This window comes from Homo sapiens, chromosome 17 (genome assembly GCF_000001405.40).
Source record: "Homo sapiens chromosome 17, GRCh38.p14 Primary Assembly".
NCBI lineage: Eukaryota > Metazoa > Chordata > Mammalia > Primates > Hominidae > Homo > Homo sapiens.
This window is the reverse complement of record NC_000017.11, coordinates 20,007,626-20,029,800: the sequence shown is the minus strand read 5'-3', so window position 1 is coordinate 20,029,800 and position 22,175 is coordinate 20,007,626. Positions and strand designations below refer to the sequence as shown.

Sequence of the window (22,175 nt, the reverse complement as noted above, 5' to 3'; positions counted from 1 at the left end):
CAAAAAGGAGGTAAGACTCAAATTACTAGAATCAGAAATAAAAGAGGGGACATTACTAATGAGGGATTAGAAAAGAATACTACGAACAAATGTGTGCCAACAAATTAGAAAACTTAGATGAAATGGACAGGTTCCTAGGACAACATCAACTACCAAAATTTACTCAAGAAGAAAGAGACAATTTGAATGAGCTATAACAAGGGAAGAGACTGAATTGACAACCAAGAAACTATCCACAAAGAAAATCCCAGGCCCAGAAGATTTCACTGTGAAATTCTTTCAAACTTATAAATATAAATTAACATCAGTTCTTCACAAACTCCTCCAAAAAAAAGAACAGATCTCTATTTACAGGCGATACGATCTTTAGAAAATCCTAAGGGAACTACTAAGACACTATGATAACTGATAAACAAGTTCAGCAAGGCTGCAGGATAGAAAACCAATATACAAAAATCTATTATATTTCTATACACTTGCAGTGAACAACCCAAAAATGAGATTAAGAAAATAATTCAATTTACAATAACATCAAAAAGAATAAAAACACTCAAAAATAAATTTATTCAAGTAAGTGCAAAACTTATACTCTAGAAGCTACAAAACACTGTTAAAAGAAATTAAAGGTTTACATAAATGAAAAACTATCCCATGTTCATGGATCAAAAGACTTATTACTGGCAATGCTCTCCAAATTGATCTATAAATTCAACAAAATCCTTATCAAAATCCCAGATGAGGCTGGGGGTGGCGGTTCATGCCTGTAATCCCAGCACTTTGGGAGGCTGAGGCACGCAGATTACCTGAGGTCGGGAGCTCGAGATCAGCCTGACCAACATGGAGAAACCCTATCTCTTCTAAAAATACAAAATTAGTCAGGCGTGGTGGCACATGCCTATAATCCCAGCTACTCGGGAAGCTGAGGCAGGAGAATCGCTTGAACCCAGGAGGCAGAGGTTGCAGTGAGCCAAGATCGTGCCATTGCACTCCAGCCTGGGCAACAAGAGCAAAATTCCATCTCAAAAAAAAAAAAAAAAAAATCCCAGATGACTTCACTGTTGAAATTGAAAAGATTATTCTAAAATTCACATGGAATTGCAAGACCTTGAGAATAGCCAAAACAAACTTGAAAAACACGAACAAAATATAGGATGACTCACTTGCCAATTGCAAATGTTACGACACAGCAACAGTAATCAAGACTGTGTGGTACTGGCAAAAGACACATACATACATACATATCAATGGAATATAATTGAGAGTACAGAAACAAGCCTAAACATCTATGGTAAGTGCTTTTCTATTTTTTTCTTTTTTTTTTTCTTTTTTGTAGAGATAGAATCTCACCATGTTGCCCAGGCTGGTCTTCAACTTCTGGGCTCAAGCAATCCTCCCACTGTGGCCTCCCAAAGTGCTGGGATAACTGGCATGAGCCACCACATCCAGCCCAGATGATTTTCAAAAAAGTCAACAAGACCATTCTTTTCAACAAATAGGTCTGGGATGATCAGATAGTCACATGAAAAAAAAAATGAAGTTGGACCCTCCATCACACTAAAGTGCTGCGATTATAGGCATCAGCCACCACATCCAGCCCAAATGATTTTCAAAAAGGTCAACAAGACCATTCTTTTCAACAAATAGGTCTGGGATAATCAGATAGTCACATGAAAAAAAAAATGAAGTTGGACCCTCCATCACACCATATGCAAAAATTAATTCAAAAATGAATTGATGACTTAAACGTAAGAGTTACGACTGTAAAACTCTTAGAAGGAAACATACGGGTAAATCTTAAAGACGTTAGGTTTGACAAAGAATTCTTAGACATGACACCAAAAGCATGACCAACTAAGGTAAAATAGGGTAAATTGTACCTACCAAAATGAAAAACCTTTGTGCTGGAAAGGACACCATCAAGAAATGGAAAGCCAAAATAGCCAAGGCAATATTAAGCAAAAAGAACAAAGCTGGAGGCATCATACTACCTGACTTCAAAGCAACAGTAACCAAAACAGCATGGTACTAGTAGAAAAACAGACACATAGACCAATGGAACAGAATAAAGAACCCAAAAATAAATCCACATATTTATAGTCAACTGATTTTTGACAATGACACCCCTTCAATAAATGATACTAGGAAAACTGGATATCGATATGCAGAAGAATAAAACTAGACCCCTATCTCTCACCATATAGAAAAATCAACTCAGACTGAATTAAAGACTTGAATGTAAGACCCAAAACTATAAAACTACTGGTAGAAAACATAAGGAAAAACGCTTCAGGACATTGGTCCAGGCAAAGATCTTATGGCTAAAACCTCAAAAACACAGGCAACAAAAACAAAAATGGAAAAATAGCACTTTATTAAACTAAAAAGCTCCTGCACAGCAAAGGAAACAACAGAATGAAAAGACAACCTGTAGAATGGGAGAAAATATTTGCAAACTATCCATCCATCAAGGGACTAGTATCCAGAACACACAAGTGACTAAAACAACTCAACAGCAAAAAAGCAAATAATCTGGTTTTTATATGGGCAAAAGATCTGAATAAACATTCTCAAAGGAAGACATACAAATGTCACTATCATTCTGCCAGTACCACACTGTCTTGATTACTTGTTAGTGTATAAATTTTTAAATTGGGAAGTGTGAGTCATCCTACACTTTGTTCTTGTTTTTCAAGTTTGTTTTGGCTATTCTGGGAGCCTTGCAAGTATAAAATAGCCAACAAGTATGAAAAAATGCTCACCATCACTAATCATCAGAGAAATAAAAATCAAGACCACTATGAGATATCCTCTCACTCCAGTTAGAATGGCTACTATCAAAAAGACAAAATATAATGGATGCTGGCAAAGATTTGGAGAAAGGGGAACTCCTATACACTGTGGGTAGGGATGCAAATTGGTAATGGCCATTATGGAAAATAATACTGAGGTTTTTCAAAAAACTGAAAATAGAACTACCATATGATCCAGCAACCCTACTACTGGGTATTTATCCAAAGGAAAGAAGTCAGTATACTGAAGAAATATATGCACTCTCATGTTAATTGCAACACTGTTCACAACAGCCAAGACAGGGAATAAATCTAAATGTGCATCAACAGATGAATGGATAAAGAAAATGTGGCATATACACTCAATAGAATACTATTCAGCCATTAAAGAAGAATGAAATCCTGTCATCCCAGCAACATGGATGAACCTGGAGGACATTATATTTAATGAAATAAGTAAAGCACAAAAAGATAAACAGTACATGTTCTCACTCAGACATGGGTGCTAAAAAGAAAATGGGGTCACAGAATTAGAAGGGGAGGCTTGGGAAAAGTTAATGGATAAAAATTTACAGCTATGTAAGAAGAATAAGTTTTAGTGTTCTATAGAACTGTAGGGCGAGTATAGTTACCAATAACTTATTGTACATGTTCAAAAAGCTAGAAGAGATTTTGGATGTTCCCAGCACAAAGGAATGATAAATGTTTGTGATGATGGATATCCTAATTACCCTGATTCAATCATTACACATTGCATACATGTATCAAATTATCACTCTGTACCTCATAAATATGTATAATTATTACGTCAACAAAAAAAGGAAAAAAAAGAAAATTAAGACAACCCACATAATGGAAGAAATAAAATATCTGCAAATTATATATATCTGATAAATATTTAATATTTATAATATATAAAGAACTCCTACAACTCAAGAACAACAACAAAACAACCCAATTCAAAAATGGGTAAAAGCCTTGAATATACACTTATCTAAAGACTATATACAATTGGCCAATAAAGACACGAAAAGATGCTCAACATCACTAGTCATCAGGGAAATATAAATCAAAACCACAATGTAGAATGTAGACACCACTTCATATGCACTAGGATGGCTAGAATAAAAAGGTAATAACAAATGTTGGTAAGGATGTGAAAAAATCAGAAACCTCATTCGCTGCTGTTGGGAATGTAAAGTGATGCAGCCACTTTGGAAAACAGTCTGGCAGCTCCTCAAATTATTAAATACAGAGTTACCGTATGACCCAGGAATATTCCTCCTGGGTCTATAACCAAAAAAATGAAAACATATATCCACATAAAAACTTGTACATGGGCATTTATAGCAACATTATTCATAACAGCAAAGGTGGTAAGAACCCATATGCCCATCATCTGATGAACAGGTAAATAACATGCGGTATTATCCATACACTAGAATATTATCTGCCCATACAAGGAGTGACATCCAGCTACATGCTACAAGGATGAATCTCGGAAACCTTATGCTAAGTGAAAGAAGCCAGTCACAAATGACCACAGATTATGATTCCATGCATCGGAAATGACCAGAATAGGGAAATCTATAGAGACAGAAAGTAGATTAGTGGTTGGGTGGGGCTGGGAGGACAGGTAGTACACTACTTTCCCAGAACTACTGGAACAAAGTACCACAAACTGGGGAGCTTAAACATAGAAATTGATTTCCTCACAGTTCTGGAGACTAGGACTCTGAGATCAAGGTGTCAGCAGAGCTGGTTCTTTCTGAGGGCCCTGAGGCAAGGCTCTGTCCCAGGCCTCTCTCCTTGGCTGGCAGGTGGCCATCTTCTCCCTGCGTCTTCACATCATCTTTTCTCTGTGTGTGCCCATGTCCAAATTTTGATTGGCTCATTCTGGGTCATGGCCAATTGCTATGCACAAAGTGAAGTCTACTTCCAAAAGAAGGGAAGAGGGAACACTGACTAGGCTAAACTTATAGTCATTTTAATGTCCGCTTTTCCTATGAGATTGTGAACACACAGAAGTAGGGTTTTTATCTACATTGTGCAAAGTTTAATAAGAAAAATAGAATTCAAGAGAAGCAGTTCAATAGCAGGAATTTAATATGGGAACTAATTACAAGGTTTAGGGCAGGACTAAAAAGCCAGTTGGGATGGTGAGCCAACCCAGAGATTAGCAACAGTGGGACCCCATCTACCTACCACCCATGAAGCTGGAAGGATAAAGGAGGGGCTATTATCAGAGTCCACAAGCCAGTGTCAGAGTCCTTGGCTGGAGCTGGGACCACCCTAGAGACACTGTGCAAAGCAGAAAACAAGGGGGAAAAACCCTGACTTCTCCCTTCCTCCCACCTTTCAATCTCCCACTAGTGCTTCCTACTAGCCATACTTGGCCAGAGACAGTGACAAGGAACACTGCAAAATGAAGTTTGTAGGAATCATCTCCCTCTGAGACAGAGAAATATGGAAGGGTAGAAAATGAATCAGAGGATAAAGAGAAAAAACCCTGAGTACTATCTTATTTATCTTTGTATCTCCAGTGCCTAATCTGTCTCTCAAAAAAGGAAAGCAATTGAGAGAAACTGAAAACTCCAATTGAAATGAAAGAATGGAGAATTACTGGACTAGAAGAGAAGAGAAAAATTTATTCCGCATAGAGTAAACAAGAATGGATTCACAAAGGACGTGATGAATGAAAAGCTATAATCAGCAAAGATTTGCCAGAGAAATTAAAAAGTGGTAAACTCAGCCACGCTGTACAACCTGAAGGCACAATGCATGAAAACGTTTCAAGAAATGACAAGATTTGAAGTCAAATTCTAAGTGCTTTTCCAGAATCTCTCAAGACGATTATATAGCTACCCCATTTTATTAAATAAAATGGAAACTTACTAAACTTTCCCCTTGTATTAAACTAACATATGTCCTAATAGCAAACGATTCTGGAATTCCTAGAGTAAAATATATTTCGTCAAAGTGTATTGCTCTTTTAATATTCTGCTGACCTCCTTTTGCTATTTAGGATATTTGTATACACATCACACGTAAATTTGGTCTATAGTTTACATCTACGGGCTTATACTGTTCTTTTTTTCATTTTTTTAAAATTTCCAACCCCCAGTATCCATATACTGCTCTCTATCAGGGTTATTTTAACTTTGTAAAATCAGCTGAGATGCTTTCCATGTTTTTTTTTTTTATTTTCTGCCACATTTGAATAGCATAGGAGTTACCACCATCAACCTTGGATTATTTAAGCATTCACGATTCCACGTGTGGATTTTTTATTCAGAGTCTTTCTTGTCATTCCTGCTATCAGCACAGAACCCAATCTCAGCTTTCCAGCTATACTCTCACCCCATGGAATTTGCAGATGAAGTTCAAAAGGACCTTTGCATTATCCTGCCTCGCCCTCTTCCCCCTTCATTTAGACATCACCTTCTTCTAGAACGTCTTACCTGACATGCCCTGCTCCCAACCCCTGCTGCCCAATTGTGTGCTCTCCCGTGTCCTGGCCTGCCATCCTCTTTAGTAATTGCCTGCTCCCTCATCTGTCTCCCCACCCAGACATTAAGCTGAATAGACTGGATTTGTGTCTTGTCCATCACTATAATCTCAGCACCTAGTACCTAGTAGGTACTTACCATGTATTCATTAGCAAAATGTTATGTATAACCTTGCACCTTAAAAACAAGAGAAGGAAGACAAAATTAAGTCTTAAGACTATGGTTTAGAACATGGATCAGAAACTACAGTCTGCAGCCCAAATCCAGACCAAATGAAGAGACCATGTTCATTTACATACAACCTATAGCAGCTTTCACACTACAGGAGCAGAGCTAAGTAGTTCCAAGGGAACACACGGCCCTGCAAAGCCTAAAATATTTACTCTATAGCTCTTCACAGAAAAAGTTTTCAGATCCCTCGTTTAGAACTCTTGTTCATATGCAATTTCACTAAACCATAGTTTTTTGGGTTTGTTTGGTTTTTTTTGGCAAAAAGGAATGAGCCGATCCAGAAAAGGTTGAAAAGAATGAATCATTACTGCTGAAAGAATGTGCACACAGTCCGTCAGTATTCTGCTGCCATGCTGACACCCATCCAATAGTGTCATGAGATGCAGCAGCTACTACTGTGTTCTCAATGCCGAGTCCACCCACTCCATAACCATGTCCAAGCAATCTTGGGAACATCATCACCATGCTTGTTTATCCTTAAGGTATTGCCTCACATACAGCAGTGGCTGGTCATAAAGTCAAATGACACTAGTGGCCAGGAGGTCAAGAGAATGAGTGAGGACAGGTGGGTAGGCAGCCCAGGCCCTAGCAACAGCAGGAGCTCACCCCTCAGTCACTCTAGCCAGGACTGAAATACTTTTCACCCTTTCAAGAGAGACTAGGAATCTGGATTTTTATGTGAAATATCTTGATTACTAAATGTTGTCAACAGACATGTCAAAAGGTAAAACTAAGTAAGTTCATGGGGCAGATTGACTATTCAGGTTATAGAATTAAGGATTCTTATCCAACACAGATACCAACCAAAAAGCTGACGTATAACATATTAGGAGAAACTATGTGCACTGTCGAAACATCAACAAGGGGCTAATGTCTAAAATAGTCTATATTGGATTCCAGTTGAAACATGGGGAAAGGACATGAACAGGCAACTTATGTCAATGGAAACTCAAAAAGATAACAAGCATATATAAAAGCATTCTCAAATTCAGTAGTAAACAGACAGATGCAAATAAAAAGAGGGAAACTGCTGCCGGGCACAGTGGCTCACACCTGTAATCCCAGCACTTTGGGAGGCCGAGGCGGGCGGATCATGAAGTCAGGAGATCGAGACCATCCTGGCTAACATGGTGAAACCCCGTCTCTACTGAAAACACAAAAAATTAGCCAGGCGTAGTGGTGGGCACCAGTAGTCCCAGCTACTCAGGAGGTTGAGGCAGGAGAATGGCATGAACCCAGGAGGCGGAGATTGCAGTGAGCCGAGACCATGCCACTGCACTCCAGCCTGGGCGACTGAGTGAAACTCCATCTCAAAAAATATAATAATAATTATAATTATAATAATAATAAATAGTAAATAAATAAAAAGAGAGAGACTGCTAAAGTCTAGAAAGTTGAATGATGCCAAGCGCATGCAAAGATCAGGGCCTTGGGATGGCCGGGTGCAGTGGCTCACGCCTGTAATCCCACCACTTTGGGAGGCCAAGGCGGGCGGATCATGAGGTCAAGAGATCAAGACCATCCTGGCCGACACAGTGAAACCCGGTCTCTACTAAAAGTACAAAAAAATATATATATATATATATATTATTATATTATATATATATATATCAGAGCCTTGGGAATCCTTGTGTGCTGCTGGGGAAGGTAGTGGTGCAGCCACCCTTGACAGCAATCTGGCAGTACTTGGTTATATTAAGTATAGGCACACACCACGACCAGGCAGTCCTACTCCTGGGTCTAAATCCCAAAGAATTCTCACACAAGTCCATAAGGAGACATGTACGAGGCTCATTCAGCATTACTGGGAGTGGGAATCAACCTGGGTGTCCATCTACAGGAGACGAGATGGACAAAATGTGGTGGATATTAAGACCAGAATCACCAAGTAACAGAGATGGGTGGTGAGTGACAATCCTAAGATACAGAATAAAGGCTAGAACATGATGCCATTCATGTAAATTAAAAATAGATGCACACAAAGCAGTATACGCGTGACCCTTGAATAGCACAGGTTTGAACTGCCTGTGTCCACTTACATGTGGATTTTCTTCCACTTCTGCTACCCCCAAGACAGCAAGACCAACCCCTCTTCTTCCTCCTCCCCCTCAGCCTACTCAACATGAAGATGACAAGGATGAAGACTTTTATGATAATCCAATTCCAAGGAACTAATGAAAAGTATATTTTCTCTTCCTTATGATTTTCTTTATCTCTAGCTTACATTATTCTAAGAATATGGTACATAATACACATCACACGCAAAATAAATGTTAATTGACTGTTTATATTATGGGTAAGGCTTCCACTCAACAGTAGGCTGTCAGTAGTTAAGTTTTGGGAGTCAAAAGTTATACACAGATTTTCAACTGTGCAGGCAATCAGTTCCCCTGACCCCCTCATTGTTCACGGGTCAACTGTATATACACAAAAGTATTATATGAACCTCATTAGAATAGCTGTCTATAGGGAGAAGAGAATGAGAGTGGGATAAAACGGAATGAACAAATAAACCAACAAATGCATTAACAAGCAAAACAACAGAGGGGCTTGCATGGGCCAGTGATGATAAAGGGCTAAGAATGAGAATATAATTAATTCAATTCCTCACACCTGAGGTCTAAAACCAAGGAAAGGGAGGGCCAGGCGTGGAGGCTCACGCCTGTAATCCCAGCACTTTGGGAGGCTGAGGCGGGCGGATCACAAGATTAGGAGTTTGAGATCAGCCTGGCCAACACAGTGAAAGCCCATCTCTACAAAAAATACAAGAATTACCCAGGTGTGGTGGCACATGCCTGTAGTTAGCTACTCTGGAGGCTGAGGCAGGAGAATCACTTGAACCCAGGAGGCGGAGGTTGCAGGGAGCCGAGATCACACCATTGCACTCCAGCCTGGGTGACAGAGTAAGACTCTGTCTCAAAAAAATAAAAAAAATAAAAAAACAGAGAAAGGGAGGAAACTAGATCCAGGCTGACTAGATACAGCCTTTAGAGTTAGAAAAGATGATTTGACAATCTAAGCCCACACTCAGATTGAATGAAATTGAAAAGCCTTTCAAACTAAAACATTTAATTACACCATCTGCTGCAGACAGAACTCAGACAACTCAAACAGGTAATGTCAGCGTGGTGTTTTATATCACCACCCTCAACACAGAATAAAAATCAGCTGCATGTGAAGCAGTGACTAGAATGAAGAAAAGGCTGCTTCTTACTTCCTTCTAGTGGTTCTTTCCGAAAACATTAATAGGCACCAGCTCTATGCATGTCACCCTGCAGGGAGACATGGGGTATATAACTATGACTTACTGTTCATTCCTCAAGGAATTCCCAATCTTGTGGAAGATTATACACAATGAGGCAACAAAAACTATCCAATAAAACCACGGAAAAGAAGCCAGTGACAAAGAAGCCAGTGATGAAAGGCCCTGTGAGCAGAGCTGATGGCCATTTGGGGAAGAAAGACCAACATGGATGGGGGTGATCAGGGTGGCTCCGTGGGAAAGCTGGAAGAGAAGTGGCAGATCTCTGAGCTGGATGATGGGCCACTACCATCTGTATATGGCTAATTAAAGACCATGTGTGGATTTTTTATTCAGCTCTTTCGTGTCATTCCTGCTATCAGCACAGAACCCAATCTCAACTTTCCAGCTATATTGAGCTAAACTTCTCACCTCATGGAATTTGCAGATAAAGTTCAAAAGGATCCTTGCCTTTTCAAAATAATTTTGAATGGTTGAGTAGTCCCTCTGTGCTCTCTCACTGACACCCTCTCAAGGCTGCTGAGCACGTGCCATGCTATGGCTTTCTCCAACATCAGGAAATGTTCTCCACTCAGTTTCACCTTAATACAAATGTGTTCTCTCTTCAGAGAAGGCAAAAAAATTCATGACCATCTGACTGGGAGAAGTCATTTCTAGGTAAAGTGTCCATCTTTTTCTGAGGAACACAGGAGGAAAATCTTACAGAAAAGAGTTAACACAGCAGGCCTAAGACTGCTTTTTAAAATAAATAAATAAATAAATAAATAAATAAATAAATAAATAAATAAATAAATAAATGAATGATAGGGTCTTCTGTATTGGCCAGGCTAGTCTCAAATTCCTGGCTTCAAGAGATCCTCCCACCTTGGTCTCCCACAGTGTTGGGATTATAGACATGAGCCATTGTGCTTGGCCCAAGACTGTTATTCTTAAAAAGTCTCATAAAAAGCATGGTTAATCCTTGGCTGGCACCTGGGAACTTAGATTTCAGAAGGGTTCCCACCATCCAACCTGGAAAGAGGGACTCACTGTGCCTAAATTATTGTGTGGTTTATGCTGAACTCCTGCTTTTCTTCAGGTAGCGTGGAATGTGGTATGTGCTGGGCAAAGGGGGCCTGCATGACCAGCCCCCAATAAAAACCCTGGGTGTTGGGTCTCTAGTGAGTTTCCCTGGTAGACAGCATTTCACATGCGTTGTCACAGCTCCTTCCTCGGGGAGTTAAGCACATACATCCTGTGTGACTGCACTGGGAGAGGATGCTTGGAAGCTTGTGCCTGGCTTCCTTTGGACTTGGCCCCATGCACCTTTCCCTTTGCTGATTGTGCTTTGTATCCTTTCACTGTAATAAATTACAGCCGTGAGTACACCACATGCTGAGTCTTCCAAGTGAACCACCAGATCTGAGCATGGTCCTGGGGGCCCCCAACACAGAAATAAATTATAAAAGACCAAGGACTGGGCATGGTGGCCCATGCCGGTAATCTCAGCGCTTTGGGAGGCCGAGGCAGGAGGACCAGTTAAGCCCAAAAGTTCAAAGTTACAGTGACCTATGACTGCGCCAATGCACTCTAACCTGGGAGACAGAGCAAGACCCTGTCCCCAAAACAATAAACTAAACACATACTTCTGCCTTCCAAGTGTCTTAAAATTCAATGGAATGGTAGAAACATTTTTAAAACACTAAATCAAAAGAAACCTGGAAAACAAGAGTGCCGATGGCCAACTAAAATGTCTAGGAAATTTCTGAAAAGTAAAAAGTACTCAGAACCAGATTACCTGAGCAAACCATAGCCCAATACAAGCTTGGGAGGAGGCTGTTATGCAGAAGGAAATGGTAACAGGTTTCCAGGAACAGACTTGTAACAGCAGATAGAACAGCAGAGGTAGAACCTGACAAGGTGATTACCTGGGGAACTGCAGTCTGAATGACCAGGACTGTTGGACCCTTCCCCTCACATGGAATACACACGCCACTCAGCAGCACACCACAGCTCTTCAACAATCACAGGAGGCACGCTACGCCTAGTAAGACAGGAAAAAAGGAATTCTCAAACTTCGAAGATGAACACATAAAGAATCACCAAGTTTTTATTCAGTATGATGAAACAGGGACACTGAATCAACAGAACACAAACCCAAGCAAAGATAATTACTAGAGCACATAGAAGAAATTATTAGATATTCTTGGGAAGACCTAAGGGGACATTATAAAGAGCAAGCAGTTGGTATGTGACGATCTTTGTGATATACCAAGAAATAAAAACACAGGATGAAGACCAGATAGAGAATAATGCTACTATTTGTGCAAAAAAGGAGAAATGGAGAATCTGATTCATATTTGCTTGTATTTGCATGAAGAAACTTTGGAAGGTACATAAGTAACTAACAACAATGGTTACCTACTTGTAAGGCGAGAGAAGTAAGAGGACAGGAATGGTGGGAACACCTTTTGTGTCCGGAATTGGTGGGTTCTTGGTCTGACTTGGAGAATGAAGCCGTGGACCCTCGCGGTGAGCGTAACAGTTCTTAAAGGCGGTGTGTCTGGAGTTTGTTCCTTCTGATGTTTGGATGTGTTCGGAGTTTCTTCCTTCTGGTGGGTTCGTAGTCTCGCTGACTCAGGAGTGAAGCTGCAGACCTTCGCGGCGAGTGTTACAGCTCTTAAGGGGGCGCATCTAGAGTTGTTCGTTCCTCCTGGTGAGTTCGTGGTCTCGCTAGCTTCAGGAGTGAAGCTGCAGACCTTCGAGGTGTGTGTTGCAGCTCATATAGACAGTGCAGACCCAAAGAGTGAGCAGTAATAAGAACGCATTCCAAACATCAAAAGGACAAACCTTCAGCAGCGCGGAATGCGACCGCAGCACGTTACCACTCTTGGCTCGGGCAGCCTGCTTTTATTCTCTTATCTGGCCACACCCATATCCTGCTGATTGGTCCATTTTACAGAGAGCCGACTGCTCCATTTTACAGAGAACCGATTGGTCCATTTTTCAGAGAGCTGATTGGTCCATTTTGACAGAGTGCTGATTGGTGCGTTTACAATCCCTGAGCTAGACACAGGGTGCTGACTGGTGTATTTACAATCCCTTAGCTAGACATAAAGGTTCTCAAGTCCCCACCAGACTCAGGAGCCCAGCTGGCTTCACCCAGTGGATCCGGCATCAGTGCCACAGGTGGAGCTGCCTGCCAGTCCCGCGCCCTGCGCCCGCACTCCTCAGCCCTCTGGTGGTCGATGGGACTGGGCGCCGTGGAGCAGGGGGTGGTGCTGTCAGGGAGGCTCGGGCCGCACAGGAGCCCAGGAGGTGGGGGTGGCTCAGGCATGGCGGGCCGCAGGTCATGAGCGCTGCCCCGCAGGGAGGCAGCTAAGGCCCAGCGAGAAATCGGGCACAGCAGCTGCTGGCCCAGGTGCTAAGCCCCTCACTGCCTGGGGCCGTTGGGGCCGGCTGGCCGGCCGCTCCCAGTGCGGGGCCCGCCAAGCCCACGCCCACCGGGAACTCACGCTGGCCCGCAAGCACCGCGTACAGCCCCGGTTCCCGCCCGCGCCTCTCCCTCCACACCTCCCTGCAAAGCTGAGGGAGCTGGCTCCAGCCTTGGCCAGCCCAGAAAGGGGCTCCCACAGTGCAGCGGTGGGCTGAAGGGCTCCTCAAGCGCGGCCAGAGTGGGCACTAAGGCTGAGGAGGCACCGAGAGCGAGCGAGGACTGCCAGCACGCTGTCACCTCTCACTTTCATTTATGCCTTTTTAATACAGTCTGGTTTTGAACACTGATTATCTTACCTATTTTTTTTTTTTTTTTTTGAGATGGAGTCGCTCTCTGTCGCCCAGACTGGAGTGCAGTGGTGCCATCCTGGCTCACTGCAAGCTCCGCCTCCCGGGTTCACACCATTCTCCTGCCTCAACCTCCTGAGTAGCTGGGACTACAGGCAATCGCCACCACGCCCAGCTAATTTTTTATTTTATTTTTTTTTTAGTAGAAGCGGAGTTTCACCATGTTAGCCAGATGGTCTCAATCTCCTGACCTCGTGATCCATCCGCCTCGGCCTCCCAAAGTGCTGGGATTACAGACGTGAGCCACTGCGCCCTGCCTATCTTACCTATTTCAAAAGTTAAACTTTAAGAAGTAGAAACCCGTGGCCAGGCGTGGTGGCTCACGCCTGTAACCCCAGCACTTTGGGAGGCCGAGGCGGGCGGATCACGAGGTCAGGAGATCGAGATCATCCTGGTTAACACAGTGAAACCCCGTCGCTACTAAAAATACAAAAAATTAGCCGGGCGTGGTGGTGGGCACCGGCAGTCCTCGCTACTGGGGAGGCTGAGGCAGGAGAATGGCGTGAACCTGGGAGGCAGAGCTTGCAGTGAGCCGAGATAGTGCCATTGCCTTCCAGCCTGGGCGACAGAGCGAGACTCCACCTCAAAAAAAAAAAAAAAAAATAGAGACCCGGAAAGTTAAAAATATGATAATCAATATTTAAAAACACTCAAGAGATGGGCTAAAGAGTTGACGGAACAAATCTAAATATTAGATTGGTGACCTGCAAAACCAGCCCAAGGAACATCCCAGAATGCAGCCCATAAAGATAAAGAGAGCATTTCCGCTGGGCACAGTGGTATGGCAGGGGAATTGCCTGAGTCCAAGAGTTGCAGGTCACATTGAACCACACCATTGCACTCCAGGCCTGGGCAACACAGCAATACTCTGTCTCAAAAAAAAAAAAAATTAAATTAAAAAAGACAGAATATTTGAGAGAAAAAAATGCTTATTTCAAGAAACATGAAAGATAAATCAAGATATTCTAATTCCCAAGTAAGAATAATTCCAGAAGCAGAAAATAGAATAGAGGCAAGGAAACACTCAAAACTTCTCCAGTGCCATAGAAATGTGTATTAATCTTTAGAATGAAACGGACTACCAAATGCTGAGCAGGAAGAACAAAAGAGATCCACTCTTAAGCCAGTGTGGTGCCCAAGCGCAGTGGCTCATGCCTGTAATCCCAGCACTTTGGGAGGCCGAGGCAGGTGGATCACCTGAGGTCAGGAGTTTGAGATCAGTCAGGCCAACATGGTGAAACCCTGTCTGTACTAAAAATACAAACATTAGCTGGGTATGGTGGTGCACATCTGTAATCCCAACTACTTGGGAGGCTAAGGCAGGAGAATCACTTGAAACCAGGAGGTGGAGGTTGTAGTGAGCCGAGATCATGCCACACTCCCAGCCTGGGTGACAGAGCAAGATTCCATCTCAAAAAAAAAATCCACTCCTAGACAAATAATAGTTAAATTTTAGAACACCAAGGAGAAAGAAAAAAAATTGTAAAGCTTCAGAGAAAATAAACATTAACTACAAAGAAACGAGAGTCAGACGCGTGCACTTCTTCCTAGATACCAGCAGATAAAGCAATATCTCCAAAATTCAGAAGGTTTTAACGTAGAATCCTATACCCAGTCAAGAATATTCACATGGAAAAGTGAAATAAAAAACATTGTTTAAACATGCAAGGGTTCAGAAAGTTTACCATTCACAGAATCCCTGAAAACAAAACCAAATAATCACTTAAGGACTCATTAAGAAAACAAATGAAATAAAAGCACCAATGATGAGTAAATAATCAGAAAAATTTACAGTTTACCTAAATAACTGTTTATGCATAATGTATGAAAACCCAAAAATTTAATATGGGACAGAATTAAAATCATGATAAGATTCTTTTTTGCTTTACTCATGGAGAGTTCACATAAACAGATTATCTTTTAATAGCAAGAGAAAAAAATGTTTAGATATGTGTGAAAAACTAAGGGTACCAAAACAGTGCAAATTCATTTATCATCAGGAAAATCCAAATTAAAACCACAGTATCCACCAGAATAACTAAAAGGTAAAAGACAGAAATTACCAAGAGTTGGCAAGAATGTGGAGCAACCACATATACTTCTGGGGTAAATAAGTTGGTGCAACCGGTACTGAAAACTGTTTGCTAGTATCTACTAAAACCGAGCACATGCACAGACTACAACCAAGCAGTTCCACTCCCAGATACACACTCAACAGAAATGCACACACTCACTCAACAAAAGACGTGTACTAGAGTGTTCATGTACTTACTATTCATAATAGTCCAAAAATGCAAACAACCAACTGCCAATCAAAGTCAAATGTATATCTATATTAGGGATATATACAATGGCATATACACAGCAATGAGAATGAAATGAACCAGCTCGGCACAGTGGTTCATGCCTGTAATCTCAGCACTTTGGGCGGGTAAGGCAGGCAGATCACTTGAGGTCAGAAATTTGAGACTAGCCTGGCCAACACGGTTAAAACCTGTCCCCACTAAAAACACAAAAATTAGCCGGGCATAGTGGTTGCAGGCCTGTAATTCCAGCTACTCGGGAGGCTGGGTTGGGAGAATCGTTTGAACCCGAAAGCCGGAGGTCGCAGTGAGCGGAGATCGTGCCACTGCACTCCAGCCTGGACGATAGAGCAAGACTCCGTCTCAAAAAAGGAAATCAAAAATATAAAATAAGATGACAGGAATAATCCGCAAAAGATCAGTAATCAAAATAAATATAAATGGGCTAAAGCTACCTATTAAAAGACAAAGATTTCACACCCATAAGGATAGCTACTATCAAAAAAAGAGAGAGAATAACAGATGTTAGCAAGGATGTATGGAAACTGAAATTCTCACGCATTGCTGGTGAGAATATAAAATGGTTCAGCCTCTGCGGAAAACACTATGCTGGGTCATCAAAAAATTAAAAATAGAAGTACTACTTGATCCAACAATTCTACTTCTGGGTATATACCCAAATAACTGAAAGCAGGGTCTTGAAGAGATATTTGTACACCCATGATCATGGCAGCATTATTCATAATAGCTATGATGTGGAACCAACATAAATATCCTTTGATAAATATATGGATAAGCAAAATGTGGTGTATACATTCAATGGAATATTAATTAGCAATAAAAATGAAGAAAATTCTGACACATGCTACAACATGGATGAACCTTGAGGGCATTACATTAAATGAAATAAGCCAGTTATAAAAAGACAAATACTATATGAGGTACTATATTAGATACTCATGCAAGGTACCTAAAATAGGCAAATTCATAGAGACAAAAAGCAGAATGGTGGTTGCCAGGGGCTGCGGTAATGGATACAGAGCTTCAATTTTGTAAGATGAAAAAATTCTGGAGATTGGTTGCATAACAATGTGCACACACTTAACACTGGGGAACTGTAAACTTAAAAGTAGTAAATGGTAAAAATAAAAATAATAAATAATAAATTTTATGTTATTTTACCACAATATTTATTAAAAGACAAAGATTAACTAATTAAACAAAATCCAGCCATAAGCTAATGGTAAGAGTAACAATTAAAGAAGACACAGAAAATTGAAAATCAGTGACTAGAAAAAGATATTCCATATAAATGCTAACAAAAAGCAAGTACAGCAATATAAAGAGAATGAACAAAAAAAAAATTAAATAAGATGGCTCGTTTATTCCCAAAAGGTACAATTCACCAAGAAGATACAAGAATTGTGAACCTTTAAGCACATAAAACAGCTTCAAAAATACAACATTTAAAGAAAAATATATATTAAACATAGAAATAGTACAAAAACCCCTACAAGAATCATAATGGGAGTCTTCAATACAACTCTCCATATCAACAGGTCAAACAGAGAAAAAAAATAAGTTAAGGATGCAGAAAACCTGAATTACCATCAATAAACTTGAGATTAATATAGAACTGTATACCCAATATACTAAGAGTTCAGGGAACAGTCGTGACTGACAGTGGACTGCAAATTAATCTGTTCTTAATCTTTGTTTTTCTTTCAGCACTGTGGCAGAATAGAGATCCTAAAAACCTTCCAGCTACAAAACATCTTTTTAAAAATATAAAAAAATACAAAAATAACTCTGAAATCAATAGAAGACACATGGTGAAACCAAAATTCTAGAATACAGGGAGAATAAAGGCATTTTCAGATATTACAAAAACAGAAAATTGATCATTGCTGAAGTAATTTCTAAAGAATGTACTTGAGGGAGAAGAAAAATGTTCCAAAGAAAAGTATCTGTGATACAAGAAGGAATGGAAAGTGAAGAAATGGTAAACAGGTAGATAAAGCTAATAAATGTTGACCTAGAAAATAACAAAAACAATAGCAATAATGTCTCGTTGGAAGGGTTGAAGTAAAAATACAATTAAGGCCAAATGTGAGGTAAGTGGAATGAAAGAATTAGAAGTCCTTGCCTTGTTCACAGGACTGATTAAATAAATGAGCCAGGTTTTCCATTCAAACAGTTAAAACTTGAACAAAATAAACTCAAATTAAGTAGAAAGATAAAAAACAGAAATTAATGTCATAGAAAAATAAAAAATCAATAGAATTAATCAATAAATCCTGGTTAATAAAAGCTGGTTCTTTGAAAGGATTAATAAAATAATCATTAAGCAAGTCTGATCAAAAAAAAAGAGAAAAGGTACCAAAAAAAGTACTGTATCAGAAAGAGAACATACAGATACATACAGATATGTAAGAGTCTGTTTTCTTACACCAGAATACTATATACAACATTATGCTAGCATATATTAAATTTCAATAATGTTAATGATTTTCTAGGAAAACAGAAAATATTAAATTTACTTTGAAGAAACAGAAAAACTGAGAAAAATAAATGATCATGAAAAAAATGAAAAGGTAATTAAATACTGATATTAACTGCCTAAACAACACCAGCAGCAGCCCAGGCAGTCTGCAGTCAAGTTCTGCCAAACTTGAGGGAACAGATAATTCTTCTATTCCAGAGCATAGAAAATGATGGAAAGTTTCCCAATTTAATCAGAGAGGACAGCCTGATCCTTGTTATGAACACAGATAAAAATGGGGTAAACTATATGCCAAACTCAGATACCAAAACCCTAAATAAGATGCTAGCTTATTGATGTGAACAATCCAAAAGTGCATTTTAAATTAGCCCAGGGTTTTAGAGAAAGAAAATCTAGCAATGTGACCACCACTTATGTTAACAATTTTAAGACGAAAATCTACATGATCATATCAATGCATGCTACACAAAAGCATTTGGGCAAAAAACCCAACACCCACCCTTGACTTTTTAAACTCTTAGTAATTAGGCATAAACAGAAATGTACTTAATGTGATAGAATACACTCGGTGAAGATACAGAGGGAATGCTCCCTAAAACCAAGCCCAAGACAAAGATTCCTATTTAACCTCAATAGTCAACACTGCAGCGAGAGTAATCTATGGAAGACAAGGAAAAAAGTAAAAACATGAGAGACATCTGTTGTTTAACAGACAATAAGATCACCTACTTGGAAGAGGCAAACGAATCAAGCGAAAAACTATTAAAACTGAGACAGGCTTTAGTATGGAGGCTCAGCTTCAGCTGTAGTTTGGGCTACCAAATTCAACTCGCTTGCTTGGAGAGTTAATCCTGCAAAGCTAATTTCTGTTGAGGTATTAGGATTGACAAGCCTGTGCTCCTCCCTCCTCCCCCATCTTCAACACTGAAATAACACGGTGTTTGGAACTGGATAACAGAATCTTCCAAAAACAAAAATTGTCCTGAAGGGCTGACTTGTGCCCTTACTCAAAAAACACTTTATCTGCTGCCTGCAGCTCCTACAGTTGCTGGTGGATAAGCCTGCCAACCAGCTCGGCGTAATTCTTCCTGCAGAGGGCAAGGAAGAGCACTTTCACAGGAAAATTTTTTTCCGAACTGTATGCCGCTTATTACATAAACTTACGTGCTGGCAAATGGAGCTCCAGCAAAATAAGATATTCAGAGTCAAACTTCCTTAGGAAAAAAAAAAAAAAAAAGCAAGCACATAACACTAATTTCCTTGCATGGGCACTGGGGAAGGAGGTCGTTACTTCCGCACGCCCGCAGGTCCGCACCACCGGGAAACCCACGGGCACCGCGCGCTGCCCCCGGGCCTTCCAGGTGCACTGCGCCGCGGCGCCCCAGCTGACCCGGGATGCGCAGCCCTAGCCCTTCCCCTGTCACCCCGGCCAGGAAGGGGCGGGAGCGCGGCGGACGCCGAGGGCGAAGGGCTTCTCGGTCCTCTGCACCACGCAGCACCCCCAAGGCACAACAGGGAGGGTGCGGGAGGCTCCCGAGACCCAGGAGCCGGGGCCGGGCGTGCCCGCGCACCTGTCCCACTGCGGCGAGGGCTGGGGTCGCCTCCAGGGCCGCAGCTGTCGGGAGCCACCTGGCTCTCAGTCCCGGGTCCCTGCGACAACCCTCGGGCCCGGAGGGGAGGAGGCGGCCACCTGCCGCTGCCACCTGCGGCACCGGTCCCACCGCTCCGGGCCGGGCAGGACAGGCCAGGACGTCCCTCCTGGGCTGGGGACAGGACACGCGACGAGGGGACCGGGGCCCCCGCGGCGAAGACGCAGCACGCCTTCCCAGAAAGGCAGTCCCGTGCCCCCACGACGGACTGCCGGACCCCCGCGCTCGCCCGCCCATCCCTTCAGACCACGCGGCTGAGGCGCAAAGAGCCGGCCGGCGGGCGGGCTGGCGGCGCGGCTAGTACTCACCGGCCCCGCTGGCTCAGCGCCGCCGCAACCCCCAGCGGCCACGGCTCCGGGCGCTCACTGATGCTCAGGAGAGGGACCCGCGCTCCGCCGGCGCCTCCAGCCATCGCCGCCAGGGGGCGAGCGCGAGCCGCGCGGGGCTCGCTGGGAGATGTAGTACCCGGACCGCCGCCTGCGCCGTCCTCCTTCAGCCGGCGGCCGGGGGCCCCCTCTCTCCCAGCTCTCAGTGTCTCATCTCCCTATCTGCTCATCCTCTGGTCGCACATAATCGATGTTTGGGCGTCCCAAGCCAGATGTGGACCCCATTTCCGCACTCTACACTGGAGGTTTTCTAAGGGTGGTGCCCGGACCAGCAGCTTCAGCCTCATCTGGGAACTTGAGAAAATGCAGATTCTCCGTCCCACCCAGCCTATTCGGTTTTTCCTGCACTAAAACCATGAAGGTGGGGCCCAGCAGTCCACATTCTCGCAAGCCCGTCAAGTGATTCTGAGGCGCCCTCCAGTTTGAGAGCTATGCTCACGGCCTCACCTCCGCCCCGCAAGGAGCCCGGTCTTGCCTGTGGCGCTAGCCGCACACGGACACCTCATCCTGCGGGGCCCGCCCCCCCGCTGCACCCTCACCGCCCAACGCCTCCTCCGGGATGCAGCGGAGGCGCCTGGAAGTCGGCAAGGTCAACATCCCCCTCAGCATCTTCCCTACCCTCACGGCTCCTCCTCCAGGGGTGCCTCATGGCCAGGGGTTAGAAAGAGCCACTGTGTTTCTTGACATGGAAGTGGCCTAAGACCTTAATGAAAACTGCAGGAGTGGAATGACAGAACCTTTGGTCATACTTGAGGGCGTGAAGCTCAAATGAGGAGGAAGGAAAGGATCCAGGGAGAATAACCAACCCTGGCAAGTTGTGGCGCCCAGGTAGAGGGGCGAGCCTAGGCTAGCGGTTCTCGACCAGGGCCGGTGTTGCCCCTCCTCGCCGCCCCGCGTACATTTGGGGAGGTCTGGAGACATTTTTGGTTGTCATGATGCGGGAGTTGCTACTGTTGCCTAAGTGGGTAGACACGAGGGTGCTCCTCAACATCCTACCTGAAGGACAGGACTGCCCCACAAGGAAGAATGATCCGGCCCCAAATAAGAAACCCTGGGCTGGTCAGCAACAACCCCTTTGTTCTGAGAAGAGAGGAGGAAAGAATAAAAGAAGTGGGGTGAAGTTTTGGTTTGGTAGAGGAAACTTGAAGACATTTTCACTGGAAAGGAAGAGAGGAAGAGGAGGGAGATGTCTGTAAGGACGAGCAAACCGGGTGACAGCTGATTTCCTCATATTGAAGTAATGAGTCCTAGTTATAATAAATTCCTAATAAAAACCCAGTTTATCCCTGCAATAAACTTGTCTTTTTTTTTTAAATATACTGCTTGATTCTGTTTGCTAATATTTTATTTACAGGCTTTGCATTGATATGCAAAAATGAGATGGGCAATAATTTTCTTTTTGAATGTCTAATGTTGTTTGGTTTCAGAATCAATGTTATGCTCACATCATAAAAAATTTGGAACCGAGGCAGGAGGAGTGCTTGAGGCCAGAAGTTCGAGACCAGTCTAGGAAACACAGTGAGACCCCCCCATCTCTACAAAAAAAAAAAAAGAAAAAAAAATGGGCATGTTTGCTTTTTCCTTTTACTCTGAACAATTTAAGGAGCATTAAAATTATCTATTCTTTGAGGTTTGATCATTTCCCAGTTAAAAATGTTCCTCCCAGCCTGATGCTTTCTTTGGGGAGGGTAAATCTTTTAAGGCTAGAAAAGTTTCTTCTG

The 22,175-nt window shown here is 42.4% G+C and overlaps 1 protein-coding gene and 1 long non-coding RNA gene across 19 annotated transcripts in view, besides 3 other annotated features; one reads left to right on the top strand and one right to left on the bottom strand.

The window, feature by feature from the left end:
- Nucleotides 1–20,442, bottom strand: part of SPECC1 (sperm antigen with calponin homology and coiled-coil domains 1) — a 309,668-nt gene extending 289,226 nt beyond the window's left edge. For 7 of the 18 annotated variants that reach the window (XM_017025319.2, NM_001243439.2, NM_001386080.1 and 4 more), the window contains exon 1: nucleotides 20,377–20,442. The gene's annotated coding sequence lies outside the window, so the exon portion shown is untranslated. Of the gene's footprint in view, nucleotides 1–11,698; nucleotides 11,815–12,195; nucleotides 12,657–19,148; nucleotides 19,281–19,583; nucleotides 19,639–20,376 lie in introns of those variants that run through there. The other 11 variants (NM_001386083.2, NM_001386078.2, XM_047437065.1 and 8 more) reach the window with 6 other exon arrangements.
- Nucleotides 19,771–19,950: a silencer, noted in NCBI's record as "silent region_8304". NCBI's record gives its function as "represses an Ori minimal core promoter by ATAC-STARR-seq in GM12878 lymphoblastoid cells {active_cell/tissue: GM12878}" and the evidence as "EXISTENCE:reporter gene assay evidence [ECO:0000049][PMID:35858748]".
- Nucleotides 19,971–20,640: a silencer, noted in NCBI's record as "silent region_8303". NCBI's record gives its function as "represses an Ori minimal core promoter by ATAC-STARR-seq in GM12878 lymphoblastoid cells {active_cell/tissue: GM12878}" and the evidence as "EXISTENCE:reporter gene assay evidence [ECO:0000049][PMID:35858748]".
- On the top strand, nucleotides 20,541–21,746 carry SPECC1-DT (SPECC1 divergent transcript). Its single transcript, NR_186461.1, has one exon. It is a non-coding gene; the product is annotated as an SPECC1 divergent transcript (long non-coding RNA).
- Nucleotides 21,073–21,640: an enhancer, noted in NCBI's record as "H3K4me1 hESC enhancer chr17:19911474-19912041 (GRCh37/hg19 assembly coordinates)". NCBI's record gives its function as "activates a minimal SCP1, AML or CMV promoter by ChIP-STARR-seq in primed H9 embryonic stem cells {active_cell/tissue: H9 hESC(primed)}" and the evidence as "EXISTENCE:reporter gene assay evidence [ECO:0000049][PMID:30033119]".